Below are 25,646 nucleotides of genomic sequence, written 5' to 3' on the forward strand. Positions count from 1 at the left end.
ATGAAGCACTCTACAGTCTACACATCTACTTGTTGTGTCCTCTCCATGCTTGGAAATGACTAATTTTATTGTCAACCTCTGTGTTGCTATCCAATGTGTGGAGAGGCACATGCAGGGGAATGTAGGTAGGGGAGGTGGGTGTGTTGAGGTATTTTTGCTCACACTATGATAAATAAAGGAGTCTTTGCTGACTTGCAGAAATTGTCAGTCTAGTTTCAGCATCCCTGCCTAGCCCAAGGTACACTTTCTTCATCCACACCACACCCTGACACATAACTTTCGATGTGGAAGCATGGAGTGCTCTTCTTTAGCATCGCACCAGTAATCTGAAAGGTTTTCATTTTCTTGAAGCTCATGTTACTATGAGACTCTATGATATGGTTTGGCTGTGTCCCCACCTGAATCTCATCTTCAATTCCCACACGTTGTGGAAGGGACCCAGTGGGAGGTAATTGAATCATGGGGGCAAGTCTTCCCTATGCTGTTCTCGTGATAGTGAATAAGTCTCACAAGAGCTGATGGTTTTAAAAATGGGAGTTCTCTCACACAAGCTCTCTTTTTGCCTGCAACCATCCATGTAAGATGTGACTTGCTCCTCCTTGCCTTACACTATTATTGTGAGGCCTCCCTGGCCATGTGGGGCTGTCAGTTCATTAAACCTCTTTCTTTGGTAAATTGCCCAGTGTGGGATATGTCTTTATCAGCAGCATGAAAAGGGACTAATATATGCTCTATTCTGAAGGTGATGTACGTCCCAAGCTTGTCCATGTCCTCCAGTATTTTTCCTACAGTGATTTCGGGTGTTTCCTCAGGACCTAGAGTAAACAATCCCATACTACAAACTCAATCCACTTTCCAGTTATGGCCTTTAATCCAGTCTTAATGACAAATCCCCTTTTACTTTTTTCTTGGACTGACTTTAACCCTGTCAATCTCATCTATCCCTTTAAATTCAACATTATGGAATTGCATCACATAAATACATAGTTTATGTTAAATTATCTATCTCTATCATTCTCATTTGACCTCACAACTTAACATACTGTAAAATCATATCTCAAATGTGCAGGTTATATACAGAAAACTATGTGCACCATACTATATGGATAATTTAAAGGCTTTTCAATGGTATCTATAATGATATGTAATTTTCATTTTAGGCATTAACTTTATAAGTAGCCTGCTGTATGTAGCAGCTGAGTAAAAATTCTCCTGCTGTATGACTTCAATGCCAAAATACATTTTTAGTTGGGAAAATGGCTGGTCACCTTGTTATCAGATAATTTAAGCAGTTTGTGAATTATATCAAATTAATTTTTGTGTTGAAGGATAATGGCCATGTCAAGTGCAAATCTCTCAACCATATAGGGAGTAGAATATTAACTCTTATGAAACTTATATTGTGTTTAAGATGATTTGGCAAGCTAATTTGCTAATTTCCTGCAAAATATGCTGATCTCTTCAAAACCTGATTGGATAGTCTGTTTCATAGATAGCAGAACTTACAGATTTTTTTTTATTGCAAATGAATATTTTTATCTATATGTCACATTTTTCTAGGAAGAAGATTTTCATTTTCAGAGCAATCTTCAATCTAAAGCTCTCTCCCAGTGCTACAAAATTATCAGATTTGTTTGATATATTTTCTTGATTAAGCATTTCTACAGACTAAGTATCAGCATAGCAAAGACTCCATAATATAGAGTTCCAATCAGCTTTACATTTAACTAAAAATTTTCATGGAAATATAAATGGAATTTTAGATTCATGTTAAACCTCTCTTGTAAAGTTCTCAATGTCTATGTGTATACTTCAAACTGTAACTTTTTTTAAAAAAAGACATTCCTATCAAGCTACTCAATATATTTTTCAATTTTTATCTGATGTATCTACTGACATAATATGTCTCAAAAACTACTTGGGAGGCTTAGGCAGGAGAATCACTTGAACCCAGGAGGCGGAGGTGCAGTGAGCCAAGATCACGCCGCTGCACTCCAGCCTGGTGACAGAGAAAGACTCCATCAAAAAAAACAAAAACAAAAACAAAAAAACAAACAAAAAAAAACCTCAGCACTAAATAACAGGCATTTGTTTTATGTATTAGTAGCATCACCAGTACTTGTTTACCTCTAACCTCTCAAAAAATATATAAGCACATTGATGTCACGCATAGAACTGAGGACTGACTTAAATCCTATATACAAAGCTTATGTATTTCTTCCTAAGGCAAAATATTTTCCATTATGCTTAAAATAACTTTTATTAATAACAGTCAGTTACTTCATCAAACTAAGAAATATCAACAATTTCTCAGCATTTTTTCCTAAGCATATTGTCAAAGTTACCATTGCTGCAAATGCCACAGTATGTTATGGTTATCAGTTAATACTTCATAATCCAAGAATAGAAACCTTAAAAGGGAATTGTCACATTCCAAGAGCAATGGTTAAGAAAATGTTGAGGGGCTACCTTTCATTAGAGACAGGATATTCATAGTAGACAAATTAGGTTGCCTACTGGTTTGATCAACTGATTAATCTTTAGGATAATTCAGTCTGATGTGTACTGAAGAGTTCACTTATTATACTGCAAAATGAGAAATAAAAATGTAACACTTCACAAAGGGGTTATGATGTGGCCAAATTAACAAATGAAAGCTCTATAGATAAATTTTAATAAGAATGAATTCACGGAAAAGACAGGGATAAGTAATATTGCATATTCAGCACAACAAATAATCATACCAAAAAGCTGGTAAGCCATTCTCAAAATTAGCATTAGCATAGTCTATAGCAGAAAATTCAAATGAGTAAGCTGCCCAAATATGCTCTTCTTTAAAAATTTTGTTCAACATACTTGCTTTTACTTGTTTGTCACTTGGAACTGTTAATGACAAGAAATAATAAGGTCAACAGTAATTACAAATCTGCTTATCTCTTTCCAAAATAATTGTAAGGTTATCTTAATTGTTTAAAGATTGTGTGTATAATATTGGAAGCTAAAGAAAAATAAGATCTGAGAAAAGGAAAATATAATACTGTGCCATTTTTCTGATATAATCCAAATATATTCCATGAATTATAGAATTTTATTGTTTGTTATTCATACTTCTCCCAACACAGAATATTCATTTACAAATCAATCATCTTGCTCTCCATTTTTAATTATCCAAGGATCTCATTTTTTTATATACAGGCAAATGCATTTTCCTCAAAGTCTATAAAATAGTGTGAAAAGAATGAGTTCACTTCATAAATTATTCAAATTGATGGTTTTAATTTTTGAACTACAGCTAGTTACTGCTAAGTTGCTGCATTGTAATCACACACTGAAAAAAATAGATAATAATTTCAAGCAATTTATTGTATTTTGTCAGGTTCAATATTAGACAGTAATATTTAACTATTAAAACTTTTAAAACTGGCTACACCAATAGTCATTCTGTATGTCTCTCTGTCTTTCTATAATGCACACACTATCTTAGGTTCTTCTTACATGCGTAAGTGAGAAGATGTGTTATGCTTGAGGAAATGCAACTCTGAACCAACAGGGTGTTCTCTGTAAAGTAGACAAAACATTTCTTCCCAAAGGTCAAATACTGTGAAAATATGAAATGCTGAAATGTGCAATTATTGCATCTTGTAAATTATTTTAAAGTCTTCTGTTTTTAAATTTATAAAAATGTAATTGTTCTATTTGGTGTTTCTTCCTTCACTCAATAAGCCATCATCAAGCGCCCAATGTGTCCTGGCATTACAATAGGTGCTCTGGGAATAAAGAGAAAAAACAGTCGGCTTCTTCCAATTTCTGACTATATAAGGTAGAAAAGGGAAAAGATAATACGATTTTAACAGCATATGAAATATTATAAAAGTAAGAAAATGATACTATGGGAAGTAATTGGACAGACACTTAAAACAGATTTGGGCTGTCTCAGGATATTTTATAATCTTTAAAAATGAATAATAAATGTGGATTCAAACCTGTAGTTTTCCGTGGTTTGTGGTAGGGTGAGACTACAGTTGGGCCCCTTTGCGTGGTTTTTTAAATAAGATTGAGCAGATGCTATTTCCATTTAAATAAAATGAAATGGGAAGAATGACTGATAGGTATTACATAAGGTTATGATCACCCATACACACACACACACACAATACTAAATAACTCAGTGAAGCTCCTTCAGTAGGAGTTAGCCAGGCAAAATCAAGAGGTGATAGTTTTAAATGAGGGAAATATAAATGGTTTCAGAAATTTTCATTTGAAATGATTAATTGGGCAGGTTAAATGCTAGAAAACTTCAAGACAATAATTTGGTATCCACAGCAACTGCACTTTTAGTTTTTGTTGATAGGTTTATTTGTCTTGTCTAGTTGTTTGACTCTCAATCAGTTTTTTTCTCATCAGAATGTAAATATATTTTGGGCAAAATCTACTTTTGCTCTCACTGCAACTCCCCTGAGCACTCAGGAAATGTTATTAAGTAAGATTATGAATAAGGAGATAATATTTGCTGGAAGTGATTATTCCATATTTTAAAAACAAAGCGATGTATAATGCATTTACAAAAAGTGTTTTGTTCTTGTTTTGTTTTGCTTTTACACTAAACTGTGAAAGAGTACTTCGCAAATACTGCACAGATGAATTCACTGAGGGTCTTGTGAAGTTGCAGACTCTGATTCAGTAGGTCTTGAGTGGGGCCAAAAATCCTTCATTTCTAATAACATTTTGGGTGATTCTGATGCTGCTAGTTCACAGAACACACATTGAGGAGCAAGAGTGTAACATTTGGCTTTCATTTTCTAAAACTGCATTGATGTTATGTCCATGTCAAGAACTTGGAAAAAACACTGTGAGATGGAAGCATTCCCCACCCTTTACTGGCGCTGCCTTACCACCTGTTTGAGGCTACAGCATTAATAAACACTGGACATGAGTATTCGGAATCCAGCAACAGTGGTCTTACTCACCTGAGTGTTCTTTCTTTGGTGACTTTGCTGTATCAAAAAGGAAAGAAAAAAAAATCAGCATTCTATGTCATTCAATTGTAATTCAGTATTCAATTGCAAATCAAATAATATTATGAAATTGTGAGAACAGAGGAATTTAAAAACAGTTACCTGGTTCCACATGTTTTTCTTTCTTTTCCTGTTCTGAAACATATTATTATTGTTATTATTATTATCGTTATTATTCTAAAGTTTATGAATCCCAACTTAATTGTTTTAACACAAAGAAACATGCATGTGCTGATGCCAGATTGCAGCAACTAATAATGGCTTACATAAAAAGGCTAAGATTATATACTTAAAATAATTCTTTTTTCCATTTATCTTGGGAGTTTCCTTATGGGGCAGCATCAAAATATTCTGAATATTAGAGGAATTTGAATTTTTTACAGATGATAAACCAGAAAAATAAAATAGAATCCATAAAGGGTGAAAAAAATTAAATTTGCTATTATATTAGATCAATATGAAATAAATTTGAGTCAAAATAGTAAGTACAAAAGATAATTATTACAGCTTTTTAAGAAATTGCTTAGTTTTTCTGAGACAGGGTCTTGTTCTGTTGCCCAAGTTGTAGTGCAGTGTTATAATTCTAGTTCACTGCAGCCTCCACTTCCTGGGCTTAATTGATCCTCCAACCTCGGCCTCCCAGGTAGCTGGGATTACAGGCACACACCACCATGTGTAGCCAGATTTGTAGTGTGTGTGTGTGTGTGTGTGTGTGTGTGTGTGTGTGTGTGTGTGTGGAGACAAAGTCTCACCATGTTGCCCAGGCTGGTCTCAAACTTCTGGGCTCAAGAGGTCCACCCACCTCAGCCTCTCAAAGTGCTAGGATTACAGGCATGAGCCACAGCACCGCAGCTTATTGCAGTTATTTTAAAATAATTCTCAGAAAGATGAAGATTAGCACATTTCACGTGGACTGCCTCTTCTAAGAATCTTCTTACATGGAAGAAATAGCTGTTAAGCTAAGACAAAGGCTTTGTGAGGCATATTTAAGACACTAAAATAGAAAAAGAAGTTTCAGGGTAAAACATTTGCCTTGCTTTTAGGACAAATGCTCCTTTTGGAGTCCTCTTTATATAGCGTTTCTTTTCAGGAATCTACTTTTGTCAATATTGTATGAGACAAAGCATTATTTTGTTCTCAAGATTAAGCTGACATTTACATTATAATAAGTACTAATTTTATAAGAATTGCAAGCACTAATTTTACATGAAGTGCTATCATCTACATTTCTATTCTTATTTATTTTGCCTTGACAACCTTGTCAAATTAATGTAAAAGAAGATTTTCAAGAAATACTTTAACATACCCACATTTTTATCTGATATTTTAAAGAAGAATGGAAAGATTCTTAAAGTTTTATTTAATGAATAGATTTTGAAGACTAGAATATGTTCATACTGAAAGAACTCTACAAACTATATTTTAAAAATATAGAGTGTCATAGAATGCTACGGTCATCACATCAATTTCCCAAGTATACAATTTTGTTAGTCAGGCTTCTAATTAAATAAGTGTGGTATAATGAGCAACTTATCCTCTTTTAAGACAGCCTTTAAGCAGCAAAACAAAAAAATGAAACAAATGGCTTGGCCAAGTGTTGCAGGTCAAAAAGAAGAAGCTATGACGATTTAGCTAAAATTAAACAAAATGAGAACATTATCAAATGTTGTCTGGCAAATGAAGAGCAATTAAATACATTGTTTAATTTATTGCTTAACTGAAGCTCTAATTATAAAACATTTCCAAGAAATTTGTGATGACAGTCACAAACAGTGATAACAGTCAAAAAAGTACTGGAAGCAGATTTGGACATGCATCAGAATCGAATACCAGCTATACATAAGATTAAAAGTTAAAATAAAGTCCCCTCAATCTTATCAGAAAGCTGAAAAATAGCTGTGCTAATTTGTTCATTATATAGGATAGCTCATGGTGTAATTATTGAATTACCTTAGTAAATATACATTGATTTACCCTTTAACTCTACAGGGACTGCAAACTCATGTTTATGGTTGATTTTTGAGGTCTCTTTCTTTTACTTTTTATTTTGAAAAAAATTATAGCTCACAAACATTTACAAAATGTACAGGATGGTCTCTTGTACTTTTCATCCTGTTTCCCTTAACCATAATTAAAAATATCTGAAAAGTGAACAACCTTTAAGTTGTGATTATTAGAAAAGTAGAAGCAAAATAAAATATAAAATTGGGGTGTACCATCGAGTAAAGCAACCCTCAAGATAAAAAATCCAAATCAAAGAAATTCAAAGATACAACACTAACAATAATAAAAGCAAGTCTAGATGATAAACCATAGCAAATGAGTGAATTTGAAAAGAACTGATAGGTGTTTTGAAGAAAACTATTTCTTCTCCTTATTGCTGCCCGAGTCACAATCTGAGGACCTTCTCAAGGAGGGAAACAGTTGGGTTGTGAATGAATGCGTGAAAAGGCATGTTTATTTATTAAGTGCATCAGTGCCCTGAAGATTGCCAAGGAGCTGCAGTGTGTGCAGGAACTTTTAAATCTTATAAACTGTAATAAAGGGCCTTAAGGCTATCTCTATATGTACTTTAATACTATTTTTCGAATCTCCAGTTGTTCTCCATTTTCCTGCTGGTGCAGCGTTTATAGAGTGCTTTCTGTATCTCTGTGCCAGTACTCATCAGTAGCTCTGCACACACGTAAATCTGGAACTGAGAGAACTCTCTGTAGATGGATTGCTCCCCCTGGCTGAGTTGTAGTATAATTTCACGAGTGTCTCCACAGGGCATTTTAGAGCATTTTTACAACGTTGAATGTCTCAGCATCCTTGCTTTTTGTAGGGCCAAAACACATAAATATATTTTAATTGGTATATATTTTAAAACATTTTTGATATCACTAGAATCTTAAAATCTATATTGCTGGTAATGTGCTAATTTTTAATAGTGTATTGAATAAGTTCAAGGGTTTTTTTTTTTTTTGCTTTCTTTTGTTAAATATATCTTATTTTCTTCAGAGGAGAACCTATATTTGTGAAAGACATACATTAAGTTATTGAGCTTGACTGAATTGTTAGCACACAGTCTTAATAGTGTTAAAGCAACAGTGGATGAGGCTGAATAGCAACCCTATTAGACAGAGCTCATAGTGAGTGTAGGGGGGAAATTATGTTATGGGAAAAATGTCATATATCACATGGGCATGCCAAAATATCTACAGATTACAAAAAGAAAGATAGGAAAAAAGTTGTAAAACTAGCCTGTAAAAGAACTTCTAGTCAATTTTCAAAGGACTGACAACTAACCAGATTAGGACTAAATTTACAAAAACATAAGTCAGTTTGGGTTAATGGAATGCAGTTTTACTTTTGATTACAAGCCCGTCAAGAGTATTGTTAGATGATTGCATGAGCTTGAGAAAGAGTTCTAAAAATGATTACTATGCTTCTCAGTCCACTCTAACCCCCAGACTGTGTATTTTTTCACTTGGACAAAAAACAACAGAGTTCACATGCATAAAACATAGGAAAAGCGGATTCAAAATTGCAGGTCTAAATACAGCAGCAGGCAAATAATAGTAGTAAAAAAAAAAGTACACAAATACACTGCATGCATTTCCTTACTTTTTCCCTTGGGTTGTTCTACTGAAAGAAATACAAACAAAATCATTGCTCTTAAAACTTTAAAGATAAAACGTACTACCCTACATATTGATTAGACTGTAATTTTTCCCACCCCTCCTTCCAATTTTCTCTCCTTAAATTTCACAATGAGGTGAAATTTCACAGTGAGGCTCTGAGGTATTGTTAATTACTGTAGGTGCTTCCATAATTTGATTGGCAAATATTATTTGACAATAAATTAACCCAGGATTATACTGTTTAACCATTTTAAATTATTTACACCTGATATGTAATAGTCTCTTAAACACATAAAAACACATGTGAACAAGTCTAGGAGGCACAGGTATACTTGCCAAATGAATTATTCAAGACCGAAAGGAAGAAATCAGTTCCTAATTGATGCCAGTCTATCAAAAAGTAATTTAGTGTGTGCTTTCTAGTAAAATAAATGTTTGATACTGAAAATTTTTCAATTTCTTGTTAAGTAAACATTTCTTTGGAAACAATTACTGTGAAAGGATATGCAGTATTTATTTCCATTACTGCGAAATACTTCTCATAGCAGTATTGTCAGAATAGATTTGGCGCTCTCTCTCTCTCTCTCTCTCTCTCTCTCTCTCAATCTCAATCATTTTTTCTTCTCCTCTATCCCACACATAATTCTTTCTTCTACATCAATCCTTTAAGAAGGTATGCTGTTTCATGGTTCATCAAACATAAGGCAGAAAAAAAGAAATATGTCCAGTACCTTCTGCAGGTTTTTTTGTTTTCTTGGAATCTGAAAACACAAAGATAAATTATTAATAAAACAGATACAATAAATCAACAGCTGATCAGCTCACAACAAATTTCTATAAACAATCAAATAAAATTGATTATTCAACAAATTGATCATTTGTATATTTCTAGAATATGAGACTTAGAAACTGTTCTGTTTTGTGGGAATAAGTATTAGAGTGAAGCAGGAGTGAGAAACTCTTTATAAAATATCTTATATTAATAATATTTTATAAAGAATATAAAACATTGAAAAATATAAAGGAAAATATACCCACATATAATTTATAAAGAAATTTTGTTTTGCCTATGTAAGTTAGTAACCTGTTAATAGAACATCAAACTGAGTAAATATATGCTCTGTTTCCATAAAGATGCTTAGGAGTTCATGAAGTTAACTTGAAACTTTCATTTGTTCAATCTAAGTCAGTCCAGGTGAATTATGTTGCACTGTCTTTGAATAATCAATACACTTCCAATATAGATATTCAGACATTCTTATGGTAATGGAAAAGAAATAGATTACTGTTGACTCATGGGTTACTGATGAATACATCACTATATTTATAACTGTTATGTAGTAATGTCTATTTCGTGGTCAAAAGACATCGATTTCATTTATAGTAGACGGGCATTCAGCCTAGATCTGATAAATTTATTATTTTCTATTATTTAGGCCATGAAACTTTCTGCTCCCACCACTTGAAAATGAAAACAAGAGGTTTTTAAGCTCATTTGTTTTAAGATTGAAGCACCTGAGCTTGAATTTTTGCTTAGAATATTTTATTTTTTAATCTTCTTTGTCCTTTTACTGTTTCTGTAAGAACTTTTAAATTCTCTATTACTGAAATTAGAATCATAATAATGAACTATGAATTGATACCTGCAAAAGGTAGCTAAATTGTTTTCTGGCTTATAATTATCTGGCTTGGAACCTAGAACAGTAGACATTCACTAATAGTTTGCAAGTTAATGGATTTCTGTGCCTTACAGAGGTGTGGTGGTATCACGACTTCACTTCCATGATGAAGAAAGGGAACTAAAATGTTTGGATATGACAATGGACTCATTGTCTCTTCACAAAAGGCAGTTAGATGGTCAACAAAATTGTTTTATGTAACAATAATAATCAGTGCCAGTAACATTGTGGTGAAGGTAATGTCCCACTTCCGTAGATGTATAAGCTAGAAACATATTTTAGGAAACAAACTAAGAAAAGAATCCAGAAAATCATAAAAATTAACATGCTTTTTGATGTGGTAATTCCATTTCTAGAAATCCATAGAGAAAAAAAGCAATATTATCATAAAAATAAATATTTAGGGAAATGCTTTTCTCAGGATATTGCTTTGTGTCTCTCAGTAATGGGCATATTAAACACTACCCTCTGAACAATAAGAGAGTGTTGATGAATTTGTGGTATATTCATACAATAGAAAAATACACAATTATTCAAATGATGTTTTGCTAATTATGCCACAATGTGGAAAATATTAACTAAATAAGATAAATTAAATAATGCAAAATAAAAATAAAAACATAATATAAAATGACTTTATGTGTGCATGTGAGTGTGTATGAAGAAAGATTAGAAGAAAATATGCCAACATACTAATGGTAGTTGTGGACAGATTAAATAATTAGGCAAGATTTTATTACCTCTCTTTCTGAATTTCAAATTTTTCTGTAACACGAATATGTTTTATTTGTAAGGGGAAAAAACTCTTGATTTTAAAAAATAATCGATTCCTGAGACAAAACATTTGCTTAGTCATCATTTGTTAAACACTGTTGTGTCCAGCACACTACAATGAAAATAATTTTAGAATAGATTTTTCTTAATTAACCCCAGCTCTGAAAACCAATGTGAAAAATATTCTTGCTATTTAGTTTGTCATCAGGAATTTTAAATTAGTAGGCTACATTTGCTATCTGAAACATATGTGCTTTGCAAACATTTTCCTATTCATTTTCTTCCTGAATAATTATTTTAATTGGATAAGCAAGCAATTCAAATACACAGAAAAAATATGACATAATACAGTTTTATATTAACAATATGCAGTGGCCACTTCTACTTGAAACATAAGAATCTTATAACACAACAGCTTAAGGTATGAACTTGATAGTTCAATGTCCGTTTTAAGTTGTCAGTTAGTTTGACTCCACTATACTGAAATAGGATTTCTGCCTGCCCAAGCAGTTCTGTGTTCCTCACTGAACAATCTCTTGAGTCCAGAATACAGCCAACAGGAAAAGCACAGGAGGATTATGAAGAGAACATGGTCATGTAGGAATAAATTCAACCTAAAGTTTGGGGGAAATGTGGGAACACAGAGAAGATGAAACATGGCATATTAGAACAAGATTATTTCCAATCCCTATATTCTCTGACCAGATACTGGAATGGAATATGTACAGAAAGTTCAATATAATAAATGTAACTATAGAATATCTAAAATTTTAATCTGCCTTTCTATTTCCTAATAATAAGAATCAATAATATATTTTATCAGATATCAATTGTATTAAAATGAAAGAATAAAACACGATATGAAGTCCAGGGTCAGGCAAATGAAACTCAAAATGTCATGATAAAGTTATGTATTTTCTTTTGGAGTCAATAGTGCAACAGAAATGTAGAACTAAAGTAATAGAGGAACTTAAAAATATAGTGCTTGGAGTCCAAAGATCACATACTGACCCTGAAGAGCTATTAATACTAGCTGGTAATATTCATGCTATTAAACTTCATTATGCCCTTTCAGCATTCTTGGCTCAAACAGCTTAAAACATTACAAAGGCTTACTTGGTCAATATACTTCCCTGCCCAATAATCTGGGCAGTAGTCTTTTAAGAACATTGAGGCTCCCAGCACCTGTGATTTAAAAGCAGTGATGTGTTTGCCATCTGTTCAATCCGTCATTCACTCATCTGTAGCAGTGTCTCAAGTAAGGCCTATTATGTTCATAAGTGATGCCAGATGAAAATGAAATACCAGCTGGGCGCGGTGGCTCATGCCTGTAATCCCAGCACTTTGGTAGGCTGAGGAGTGCGGATCACTAGGTCAGGAGATCGAGACCATCCTGGCTAACACTGTGAAACCCCGTCTCTACTAAAAATACAAAAAAATTAGCCGGGTGTGGTAGCAGCCGCCTGTAGTACCAACTACTCGGGAGACTGAGGCAGGAGAGTGGCATGAACCCGGGAGGTGGAGCTCGCAGTGAGCAGAGATTGTGCCCACTCCAGCCTGGGCGACAGAGCGAGACTCCATCTCAAAAAAAAAAAGAAAAAAAAAAACAGAAAGAAAATGAAATACCAATTTATATTGAAGGGAAAAGTTAATTTTCTGATAGCCTACTAGTGCTAGTACTGAAGTATCCTATCTCCTTTGTGGAACCTGCCTGATTGACAACTTTAGTCAACTATAATACTAGGAATTTTGCTTTGTTTTTCAGCATGATTTATCTTCGGGTCTGAATCTGGAAGCCATAGAACTAGCGACTAATTCTCACATGTATTCAGCTCTATTTTCTCTATTTATAGTAAAAAATAAATCTCATATGGCTGGTTCTCAGTGGATTTCTATCTTTCAGAAGATAACCTGGAATTCCTAGAATTCCGGTTGCTAGGAATTCATCACTCAATCTGAGTTTAGATGAATAAAATCTACCTGGATCTGCTCGTAGAATTCAAGGAGCAGCTAGTGATTACACACACCTAAGAAGGACAGTCAATAGCTGATTATAACTTCCCAAACCTAAAAAGCTCACTGGAATATACCTCCTAGTAGTTAAAAAAAAATCATTCCTTGCCTGTGGTGTGAGAAAACAGGTACCTATTCATATTTCTTCTGGGTATTATATTTATCTTGAGTCCTGAATATTACTGGTGCGTGCATAGAATATATATTTGTTCAGAAATGTGCAAACCAAGGAAATGTGCTCATCCTCCATAAGGGATAAAAGTTAATTGGACATGGTCCCTTAAGACAAAAGGCTTAAGTCAATTAGAGTAATAGGAAAATAAACACAAGTAACATGAAGTACAAGGTGGCAAGAAATAAATAATAGTAGAGAGATACAAATGGAAGATTATACATGCAGGAAAGTATTTTTAATTGGTAGTATCAGACCAACTTCTCAGAGACAGGAAAATGTATGAATGTTCATAGAAGGAAAAAGGATAAGCTCTGTTAGGATAACAGCAAGAACAAAGGCAAGATGCCACATTGTATATGTAAAATAGAGAATGACTTGGTACAGATGAAGATGATAAAGGAAGAACTGGGTGAGAATATCAGATAACAGCTCACCATGATGTCCTGGCAACTTTGCACATATCCATACAGGCCATGCAGGTAAAGTTTTGAACCACAGTTAATTTAAGTTTTGGTAGGATGCTTTGTGATTCTCCCAGAACACAGAAAGACGGGAGGCTTGTAAAGACCTGCTGTGAGACCACCTCCCACATGGCTCCCTATCTCTCCCAGGAGGATGTCAAGAGGCAGCTTCTCATCACCTCCTGATTCCGCCTAAAGCTGCCTGGAATGGAGCTGCAGACCACAAAATCATTTTGCTGTAGTCTGGATTAGCTCCTCAGCAATGACGTGTCCCCAACTTGTGTTGCATTATCTGGCCCCTTTTGTTTGGGCTTCATCCTTTTTGGTGTGTGGGGCAACAACCTTGGAGAGCTGGAACCTCTGGCTACTCTTACATTTGCTATGAAAGTAATAAATTGTCTCAATCTCAAAAAGGGATCATTGCATCTTTACTGTTGGAATTGTTTAGGCCTTGGTCATGACCTTGCCTTGATGTACGCTTAATAGGCAGTTAGGAAAGACGATTCAGAAAAAGAATTTAAAAACTTTAATTGAAGGTTAACACTTGTAGAGTACATTCAGTGTACTCTACAGAGTCATTGTAAAGCCACTCAATATTTTAAATAGGTTATGACATGAAAAGTTGAATGAAATCTGTTGACTATTTTGGAAAGAGGTAATATTAGAGGCAAATTAATTATTTTTGTCAAAGTTTTTCATTTTCACCTCAGGACTCCTTTAAAATCTTAACTATTAAAACTCCCAAACAGCTTTTATTTACGTAGCTTCTTTCTATTGATGCTTATCATTTTAAAAAAATTAAAGCTGAGGAAATTTTTAAAATATGGTATTATTTATGCATTTATTAAAAATAATAAACCTATTAAATGTTAACATAAATAACATATTTTTATGATCGATACACTTCCCAATACAAAAATATGGTGAAATGAGTGACTTTTTTATTACTTTTGTGACTATTATTAATGTCTGGTTTAATGAGAAAGCAATAGGATTTGCACATCTGCTTGGGCGTTTACTGTGTTGTATTATTACCATTGTTTATCCTCTAGAAGTCTCACTCAAGTGAGAACGACAGTGAGAAAGGCAAATGAAAACTTCCTATCATTTATAAAAATAATTTTAACCTTATAGAACCACTGAAAAGATCTCAGAGACCCACAGGAGTCCTTGACCACTGATTTTGGAGATTATTGATCTAGTTTACATGAGAAGTTAGTAAGACCAACATGAGGTCACAAATGGCAATGTGAGATCACAAATAAAGAACTGGATCCTGTGAATGATGATTAGTTGTTCTAATTATTATAGGAAGAATTAAACAAAAGGATAGCTCAGGAAAAGTGAAAATTCTGGAGGACTAAATGTCAGGGGAAAAAGAAAAAAATGGGGTTGAAGCTGATACCAATATTTCAGTCTTGCTGCCTACAAGGAGTGTTTTATATGTTTTTTAGCTGGTCATGGACACTGGATCTCTTGAATCTACAAAAGCACAGCTCATCCCAAGCTCCTCCAATATTGCATATTGATTATGGACAATGTTTCAAAAGGAGAAAAAATGAAAAGCGGTATATAAGCCAGAAAAAATAGAACAAAAAAATCCGAGAGGCAGAGCAATGGGAGAAAAAAAAAAACAGATAAAAAGCTTAAAGCTGTGAAATTGAAACTTGACTACTGTTTTATATACCCCAAAGGCTTAGAAGACTTTGATTTGAATGCCGATGAGAATGAGTCTGTATTTTACATAGTTCTGAAATTTGATAAAACTGTCAACAGAGTAGGAGCCCTAGGATTTTGAGAAGCTATGTTTTATTCCTTATATCTTGAGAAAGACTAGATTAAAATTACTTTCAAAAAGTAGCTCACCCTTCTGTGTGAGGTGAAGTAGAAAAAGCACATTCATGCAAAATGTATGCACATAATAGATCCAGTTATCCAAGGGGAATATAGACAGAATAGCAGTCAAAACCCAACTCAGGATATTGGTAAATTGTACTCACAAAAGGCTCAGTGGGATTTTGCATAAAACATACCTTCCTTCTTTTCATCCTTCTTAGCTGCTGCTGAAGTAATGAAAATAGCGTTAAGGCATATGAAATGACCATTCCTCAGAATACTCCCCAGAATATGAGAATGTATTCCACATATTCATAAATTCAGTGGTCACCTATACACTAATCAATTCATCCAAATCTATGATAGGAGTGTAAGCAGAAAATATTACTTCATATAAAGATATTTGTAAACTCAGAAATAAGCATTAGCAAAAGAAGAAAAAAATATATGGAGTTACGTAGACAAGAAGTCAAATTTATATGTATATGCTTAGTGTAAATTCATTTTAGATTTTAAATTTTATATCTGAGGAAACCACAATCTCTTCTAGAAGGTCGTAAAATATAGGCTGTGACTGGATTAATCAAAAAAAGTGGAAGTGATATTCCAAAAATTATCTATGCTTAGCTACTGAGGAATTATATACTAGTCTGCAGTCTACATTTGCACTTATAATAACCATGTATAAAATGCCCAATTTCAGGAAGGGAAAATAAATATCCTACCCTCCTTTTAGCAAACTTATGCCTTCTTTTACATAGAGAAAAAGGTACAGAACACTTTAATCACCTTTGAATTCTGGCTTCCTCTGTGCTGATATTTATCCAATTCTGGACCATGAATCTAAATCTGGATCCACGTTGTTGCTTATGGGTATTACCAGAAATATTTGGGAGAGGTGCTCAACAGGCTTAGAATTGCTCCAAGCAATATGACCCCTGGTTCTGTGTAATGTTTATCCAGGAGCCAAAATCATTCAGGGGTATCTTAGGCCACATTAGTTGAATTTGAGATTGTGCATATTCCAGTATGGTAATCTCACCTCAGCGGGATAGAATGTTGGGGATCACTTAGAAACAACACTTAGAAAACACTTAGAAACAACTGCTATGGACATTTGCTCTGTGCTACAATTGCCAAAGCTCTTTCAGGTACATCCTCTTATTGGGTCTTCATCCTGACCTTGTTATAAAAGGCAGCCCAGAGCAGAAAATGAAGCCTCTGAAACATTAAAATAATTTGCAGAGTATAAGCAGCAGAATTGGCTCTAAAAATCAGGAATAAAAGACAGGAAGAAAATGTATTTTAATTTACCACAGGTTATTTTTCTCTATTTTCTAAATGTTATTGACGTGCTATTACTTTTGTAGTAGAAAAGTGAATTTACAAATAAGTTAATTCTACTTTGGGACATTTGTTTCTTTTTGATGTGGTTTTAACTAATAATACACAAAATGTATAGCAGATTTATATTTACAATGTTTTTAAGTTAAGAAATTGTTTATTCCAATGATATAATAAGGATAAAAACAAAGATAACACCGAAAATGAATTAAATGATATGGACATGGCCTGATGAATTTCAAAGCCATGAGGTTTAATTTTAGTAAGTCTCTGAGTTTGACTCAACAGACTTTGTTGTTGATTCTTTACATTGAAAATAAGAATTTCCTTCAAAAAATTTTACAATTTTCAAAATCATCCAATCATGATTTGGATGGATGGGTATGGGGAACTCTCTAAAGAAAGACAAAATGAAACAACATAAAATTACCCCCTCGAAGGAGCTCTGGTCAATGAATTGCTCTGAACGCTAAACTTCATCAATTTAACCATAAACACACATCTAAAGGGCAACCTGACAAAGGCCTTGACCAACGCCAAAAAGAGGGCTCAGAATGTGAATACATTTAGCAAAACTGTAGTTTCTTACAAATTCTACAGACAAGAAAGCCTCTGAAACTTAAATTCCTTCAAGATTAGTAAAATCTTGTTAAATTACAACAAATTTTTGGATTTCTAAAATAATACATGAAAAACAATCTGTACATATGCATATAGAGATGCAAGCATGCATGTATGCACATGTATCTTCTTTTTTCCCATTCTTATATATTTGATAGTTTCAGTTTCCAGTTTTCAGCGACAATGGAGATAGTTGAATGAAGGAATTTGACCTATTCCATCATAACTGATTCTGGTTTCTGTTGTTGCCCTGGATCCCTTGAAGGTGCATGGCTTTTATTTATTGCCAACTGGAAAGCCATGTTATCTACCAAGCTGGATTCCAGGCCCACAAGCTAATCAAAGCCAGGGTCTCGGGATTCAATTGTTTCTAGAACGGTTTTGTAGCTTGTGTTCCACGTGTCCTACTTCTGGTCCTCAAATTCAGCTTGCCTGGTTCTAATCTACTTAACTCTGTTATGGGATTGGATGACTCCTGAATTTACTGAGTAGACATGGTTCTCAATAACTGGGTTTTTGGTTTTCACATTGTAAAAAGACTGGAATGGCTAACATTCTAGTTTTGTTGATGTTGTTCTCTTTCTGTGTTCTTCCTATAGTATCCAGGAGATTCTTAATGTTTGCTTCAGGAATCCAGAAGAAAAAAGCCAGTGGAAATACACTAACACAGAGTGCACATACCCCATCTTTTAAGCCGAGTTCCATTACGGCATGTGTTCTCTCTTTGGCATTTTAATATCACTAGGTGTCTACCTCATCATTGCACCTAACTGATTAAAAAAATAATTCCCCATCTCTCTCCTTCCTTTCCAATTTGGGTCTATATCAATTTCTTCCAACAATTTTTTATGTAATACCTGTGAACTAGATTGATCCCCCATCTAAATTCTAATTGGCTCCAAAAAAATTATTGTCCAATTATTTTACTTTTGCTCAACATTCATCCACTGAAGAATGAATCATCTTTTCCCTTCAGCTAGTTTTTTCCCTTCAGCTAGTTTCTTCCCCTGAAACTTAATATTTTTAACAATTACCATCTCCTAATTACCCAGTTTCCAAAGCTCAGTATCATTTTTATTCTTTCCTTTGTTTCTTTTGATATACTCTATCAGATATTAGTTCTTCAAAATGTTAATGACATTTGTGCTTTTTTTCTTATGTCATTGCCACCATCCTAGTTGAGGTTATTGTCTCATGTCTTAATAGAAACAAAAGCCATTCCTTATATCTACCTAAATTTCTTAGATCTCCAAATTGGAATTTCCTGTAGTAGTGAGATATTTATTTTGTTGCCTCCTCAGTGTCTCAAAACTTTGTTAAAATAATTTCCTTAAATTATTTTAAAATTCCAAAGAATATATGCTAAATCTTAATAATAGTTATAAATAAATATGAACATATATACATACATATGTATGGAAAGCCAGATTTTTAATATGTCCTTTGTTGTAAAAGTTAAAAATAAATAAATGAACAGATCTAATCTAGCCTTTTACCATGCCACAAAGATCATGATCAATTTTGTCACTTTATACTTCAAAAAATCAGTCTACTATAGGATTATTGCCAATTTTAAGTTTTGTCTCCACGTGAAGTACTTGCAAATATTAATTATTTATATGCATAATTTAATTATATGCCTATGGCATTAAAATAAACATATCTAAGAAAGATCTATGGAGGATTTGCAAAGACGCGAATGATATGCAGTTCTGCTTTGATGTGTCCCTGCATTGGTGTGTCATTTTTATTTTAGTAAACGCATACACAGAATACCTCACTCTTGCCTTGTTCACTGTGCTTCATCAATCTTTTCATCCAATTTCCTTCCAAGGATAATTCTAACAAGACTTTGAAACTCTTGGTTACTATTTCCTCAAAAATAAATATTTTATTCCAAAATGATAAGCTCTAAGGTTGACTTGTCCAATGTAGTTTAAATCTTGAATGGTTAAATGTAGTTTAAAGAGCCCATGGCCTCAAGCTCAAATATGAATCAAATTTTCAGATATCTCTTCATTTTCCTCCTCATGAATGCCTCTAACATGAGGCTGAAGTAACTAACACAAAATTCTTGCCTCAAGTCGTAGTTCCACATCTACACTATGGTCCTCAGAAGTCTCAGTCAAACAGAATGAGCCTAAGGTGATTGTGGTTTTCTATGAAAACATATATACACTAATAGCAATGATTTCTTAAACTGGTAGTCATTGGCTTGAGGAACTCACCCTGACCTGCATTTTCATGTATTAAAAAACCAAAGGTAATAATATTTGTCCTGCCTTTCTATCGTTCATAATATTTACTATATTCCCTATCAGAACTTTCCTAAAGAAAAACAAGTTTTTCAATGTGAAAACTAAAAACTGGTATCATAGCTTTTAATCATTCTAGCTTATTTTGCTCACAGACAACATCCTCGAGTCAAATGGCATTTAACAAACCCATGTTACCAATATTTTCGGGGGTGATTCTGCATGTTGCTGGGTCCAAGATTAAATACAAGAGAAAAATTTTGCTCAGATGTAATACATTCGGTCATACATCATGTGATGTGCTAAGAAGTCTGCTATGAGAGCCTTCTACCCCTGAAAATTGTACCACCACCTATGTGCATCTCCTTTATTGCTTGATATTATATAATCTAGCATAGAAGAGATGATAAAGATCTTCTCCAGTAAACATTGTATCTTTTATTTTCTAAGTGTGTTCCATAAAGTTTTGCCACATAACAAAGGCAGAACACTTGAACCCTTCCCTCATGCTTTCATCAAATTAATCCTCATGGTGTGAGACGAAACCACTTTAGTTATCCTGAAGATATTTGTAAATGGTGAAATTAATTTTCTTAGATGGCTCATAAAAATAGGATAATTATTTTGTAGCCATATCTGGAACCCCATTTTTACAGTTTTGATGTTTATGAAGTAATATTGCTTTAATAACATTCTGATCTTCTCATGTAACATAAATTACAAGGTATACTGAAAATTATAGAAAAGTGTACATTATTTTATATCTGTATTTGTATTTCTTTATGCACATCAATGGATTATTTTTAAAAATATACATAAAGCTCAAATACTGAAACTTGGAGCCAAGACTAGTTCTTGGGTCCTTCAGCAGTTCCTCTGCAAATTTGGCATTACTCTCAGTCATGCTTGCTCCAATTACTAAATAAATACTTGAACTGTGTATTTTCATTCAACAATATTTTTTTTGCAATATCCCAGCAGATGGTGCTATTCTGCAATAAACAGCTTTTGCTTTTGTCAATAAAGTGCTATAGATGTTTAAAAAAAGGCAATGCTTTTTAAAGTGTTTTATTGCTTACCTTGTGCTGCAATTTTTACAGTCCCTTGTTTGGTTTCAGAAGCTTTTCCCGGCTCTTGGAATGAAAAAAACATAAATTACCATGAAGTATGATTTTGGAAAAATATATAAATAAAAAAGGGACAGGGGAGCACAAACACAAACGAGCATAAAAAGTGTTGCTTTTGACACGAAGAATTTTTGTTAAGACATAAACTTATTAGAGGAATTGCTGAGAATGGAGCTTACTGAAAGAAAAACATGACTGAAGCAATTTAAATCATAAGATAAAGATTCCAAACACTGTTTTGCCTCACTGTTAACTGGCCATGGAATATCACTTTGCATTTGTTGAGCATCTGAATTTGAAAATCTCAGAATTCTATTTAAATTATGTCTGTATTATCAGCCCTTTGAAATCGATGGCACATGTAGAACCAAATAAGATGACTTACTGAAGGTCCCTTAGTGACTAATGTGAGAATAAAGCCTGAAACAACCAATCCCAAGTTCAAGCCTTTGACTCTAAAATGCCCTTCCCTAAACTGCAGTGGCACCAATCACTATTAGTGTGGCCCTGGGCAAAATATATCCGAGAGAATGAGCAAGCTTCATTATGAATCTTTCTTCCCTCTTGTTCTAAGTTTTTTTTGCTATGTTTTTCTCCTTTGTTCAGAATTTTTCCTTTAAAGAAAAAGGATTTATTAAAAAAAAACTTATATGATAAACATTTAAATATACTTAATCAGAATGGGAAATAATGGGTAAATAAAAATTTCAAAAAATAACGGCTCACTTCACATTTGACTTAGTATGGTTTCTGATTGTCTTTACTGTTTTCAATTATTGAATTATTATTTAATAATGGAAAGTAAGATTGGGTCATTTGTTTTAGATATTCACTTTCATTCATTCATCCATCACATGTTTAGCAATAATTATGTGTGGACACGAAGTTAGGTGGATATGTAGTAGTTGATTCACATATATATTCAATCTTTCATTTAATTATTGTCAAATGTTGATTATAACTTGTTTAATGTTGATTTGATTTCTAATTCATGCTTTACCTCTTGTTGGTAAGATAATTATTCATTTATATATAAACATGATTATAAAAATGCTAATTTTATTTGTTGTTACATAAAATAAATATTACTTGATTCATAAATAATTCTAATTACTATAGCTATTTATTCAGAGAAAATATCTTTTGCCAAAACTGAATTCAGTCTACCCTTGATATTTACATAATTAATTTTTTTTCTGGAGGAAAACTGCATGCATGCTAGTACCATCTTTGTCAAACCTAGACTAAATGGTCTCAATTAGTAATTATATATAACTGACATTTAGTAGACAAGTATTAAATAATTGTTGACTAAAACAAATGGAAGAAAAGAAGAAAATAATATGCCCAAAAATTTCAACAAATGAGCACCATTCTGCTCAGATGTTTTACTTCTTGGAGATCTCAAAATATTAGAAAATTATACTGCAATTTGTAATTAAATTTTAAAGAAAAAGATTTTAAAATATCAGTATGTAAAGTACCTTAGAATTTGTAGAAATATTTGCAAAAATTTGCAGCCAATTTTCCTCTTATCTTCTCCTTTTTCTTTATATCCTCTTAAATCACTGATCCTAAACAACCTCATCACACCTAAGATTCTATTAGAGCACGGAGGTCACACACACCTGCAAATTATGTAGTGCTTTTCCTAGGGCCTTATCACTTCTCCCACAGACTGTTTGGTTTCTCTGTCAGCTGCTTTCTCCCTCAGCGGTCAGGTTCAGAAACATGCCCCTGAGTGCTGAGTTTTCCCATTTGAGTGTCCCAACAGGCTGGTCATCTCTCAATGGGGTTTACCTCTTTAATAACCTTAGCCTGTCCTGGGTTGGGCTGTGTGCACATAGATTGGGCATGTTTTAGGGTTCCTTATCTATGGGCTCTTCTTTCTACTAAGACTTAGTTCCCTCCCTAAGCCTTCCCTGCCCCTCATTGTCCCGCGTCCAACACATGCCAAAGAAAACAGTCCACAAATGCACACTGATGCATTGAAGATACTGTTTCCAGGTAAAAGTGTATTTTAAAGAGGTCATTCTACAATGTCTACCTGCAAAAGAAAGATTTCAATGGAGGAAAATCTCGGGATCATAGCAGTATCATGTTTGTCCCTCATAACTCCATCTATTCCTTCTCTGATTTTAAGCTTTAAAGTTCATTTATGAGGTTGGTGCAAATGCAATTGCAGTTGCACGAACCTCAATTGCGTTTTCACCCGTCTAAAATATTAGTTCACAAACTACTACATGATCTACATCTCAATAGAAATTAACAGTTTAAAACCAAATGCCTTTTCAGTAAGTCTGCCAGCTTGCATCCAACCAACAAAAATATCATCCTTGAAACTATTGAGGACACATGCAAAGAAGATCAGATTTGACATCTGCTCTTGCACAGCATTTCCATTTTCAAAATTGCATGACATTAGGGGAGGAATCGACCCTGAGTCCATACATGTACAACACAAGAAGGCTGCACCAAATATTGTACTACTGAAAACACATTAATCCAGACAGACAAATTTTCATTATAAATAATTTTTCTGTCTCCTTTTGATTTCTGCCAACTACAAAAGAAACTACATTTTTGTTAGGGAAAATTCTAAACCTATACAAAAATAAAAAAGACAGGATAATGAGCCCACCGTTTCCAACACCTACTACAGTATTTCATCTGTACTGCCTCCACTACACATATTCTAATGAAAATTTCATCATATCAAATGATTTTATCTTGTCATAGTTTTGTTTATAGCTGTGTTTTTGGAAATAAAGTACAATGACTTAAATAAAAAACAGATGACCATAACAATATTCAACTAAAGATTATAGTAATTCTGAAATTGATAAATAGTATTTTGGACTTTTAAATCAGAGACAGGATGGACCTAGATTAAAATGTCAGCATAATTCACTTGGGGGTGTTTTTTCAGGAAATTATCAGAGAAGTTAGTATTTGTAGATCCCTGAAACATGCGGTATTTATATAAACAAATTGTCATGAATCAGATGAGCCAAATGTTTCAATGTCTTCTGATTCCACAGATATGGAACAACCTGATTTACAAAACTGAAAAGATATCATTAGTCTGCAAACATTTTGTTAAAGAGCCAATTTTTGCACAGAGATTTAAATATTAGTTTAATACGATTAACTTTTCATTTCTAGGACACTGTTTATATTTTGACTTCATTTAATGTAAAGTGCAAATCCATTACATTTTCAAAAATAGGTTTCACATAACTTTAGTGGCAAATGGACTGCTACACTGTCAGCAGCCAGAATTGGTCTTTGGCTAATGGACAGCAGGTAAAGAATAATAGTATTGCTGAGAAACCTACCCACATCTTACATGTTTTTGAGCATTCTCCCATCTCTGAAAAAAAAAACAGTGTATTTATTATGTTTTAATTTTAGAATAAGTTGGTAGAGATCAATTATTACTTCAAAAGAGACAATAAACAATGTTATTCAAATACCTGAATAACATGTAAGTCTCTTACTTATAGTAACAACAAAATAAATAAGAAAGACTCCCCCCATCTGCAGTGAAGTGGCTGGCCATTAGAGAGAGGAACTGACAGGGGCAGGAGAATGAGTAGCAGCAGATGGTAAAGCAGGTAGTGGGCTCCTACCACACAGACTTTATCCTGGTTATTGACAATACCCAGCCCACTGACCTCCACAGTACAGATTTCCATTTCAATGTGAAATCATATAATTATTTACTCGTACAACTTCCCTTCCTACTACCCTATAAATTCTCTGAGATCACTGATTGATTGTCACTTATTCAACTTTATAACTCCAGACCCAACAAACTGCTGGAAAAATTGTCTCTATGAAACAGTAAGAAATGGCACAGAATATCTAACTATAAAAATGAAAAAAAATCCAATTGACTGCTTTGAAATGGAACATTAAGCTCAGGGATCTATTTCACTTTTAAGATGACGCAAAATCTCTTTTTCTCTTTGATCACTGATTATGTGTTATTCAGAAAGTGTATTAACTCTAAATTTTAGAACTAGATTTTTAGTAGAATATATGGTAACCCACATTGCAATTGGGAATTTTGTAAAATTAACTAATTTAGACAAATTTGCAAATTTTTAATTAATTTGCATGGATTTTGTTAAAAGAATAGGAGGAGAAACAAACAACAAAAAATGAAAATATTGGAATTCTACTTAAGAGCATGTTTGAGATAAACATTTTTTCAGGATTCAAATTATGAATCAAATTTATTTTATTAATCTTCCAAAGAAATGAAAACAGCTTTAAAGCTGTCTCTTGCTACTTCATCAATATTACAAGGAACTTAGACTGTTCTTATTTTCTTTTATTTCTTTTTGAAATGGTGTCTCACTCCGTCGCCCAGGCTGGCGTGCAGTGGCACGATCTTGGCTCACTGCAACCTCCGCCTCCGGAGTTCAGGCAATTCTCCTGCCTCAGCCTCCTGAGTAGCCGGGATTACAGGCGTCCGCCACTGCGCCCAGCTAATTTTTTTCTATTTTCAGTAAAGTCAGGGTTTCACCATGTTGGTCAGGCTGGTCTCGAACTGCTGACCTCGTGATTCACCTGCCTCGGCCTCCCAAAGTGCTAGGATTACAGGTGTGAGCCACCGTGCCTGGCCGACCGTTCTTATTTTCTTAGGTAAGAAAACTAAATATAGAAAAGTTGAATGGCTTTTCCACAGATCAGGAGTTAAATTCATGTTTATTAA

General features: G+C 33.7%; 1 protein-coding gene across 3 annotated transcripts in view; it reads right to left on the reverse strand.

Annotated features, from left to right (window-relative positions):
* Positions 1–25,646, reverse strand: part of TRDN (triadin) — a 420,612-nt gene that overhangs the window by 156,410 nt on the left and 238,556 nt on the right. For all 3 annotated transcript variants that reach the window (NM_006073.4, NM_001407315.1, NM_001251987.2), the window contains 7 exons: positions 20,876–20,929; positions 15,774–15,803; positions 9,370–9,399; positions 8,622–8,642; positions 5,118–5,150; positions 4,968–4,994; positions 2,857–2,883 (listed from right to left, as the gene is read on the reverse strand). In NM_006073.4, coding sequence (NP_006064.2) covers positions 2,857–2,883; positions 4,968–4,994; positions 5,118–5,150; positions 8,622–8,642; positions 9,370–9,399; positions 15,774–15,803; positions 20,876–20,929 — 222 coding nt within the window. The remainder of the gene's footprint in view (positions 1–2,856; positions 2,884–4,967; positions 4,995–5,117; positions 5,151–8,621; positions 8,643–9,369; positions 9,400–15,773; positions 15,804–20,875; positions 20,930–25,646) is intronic.

This window comes from Homo sapiens, chromosome 6, assembly GCF_000001405.40.
Source record: "Homo sapiens chromosome 6, GRCh38.p14 Primary Assembly".
NCBI classification, from domain to species: domain Eukaryota; kingdom Metazoa; phylum Chordata; class Mammalia; order Primates; family Hominidae; genus Homo; species Homo sapiens.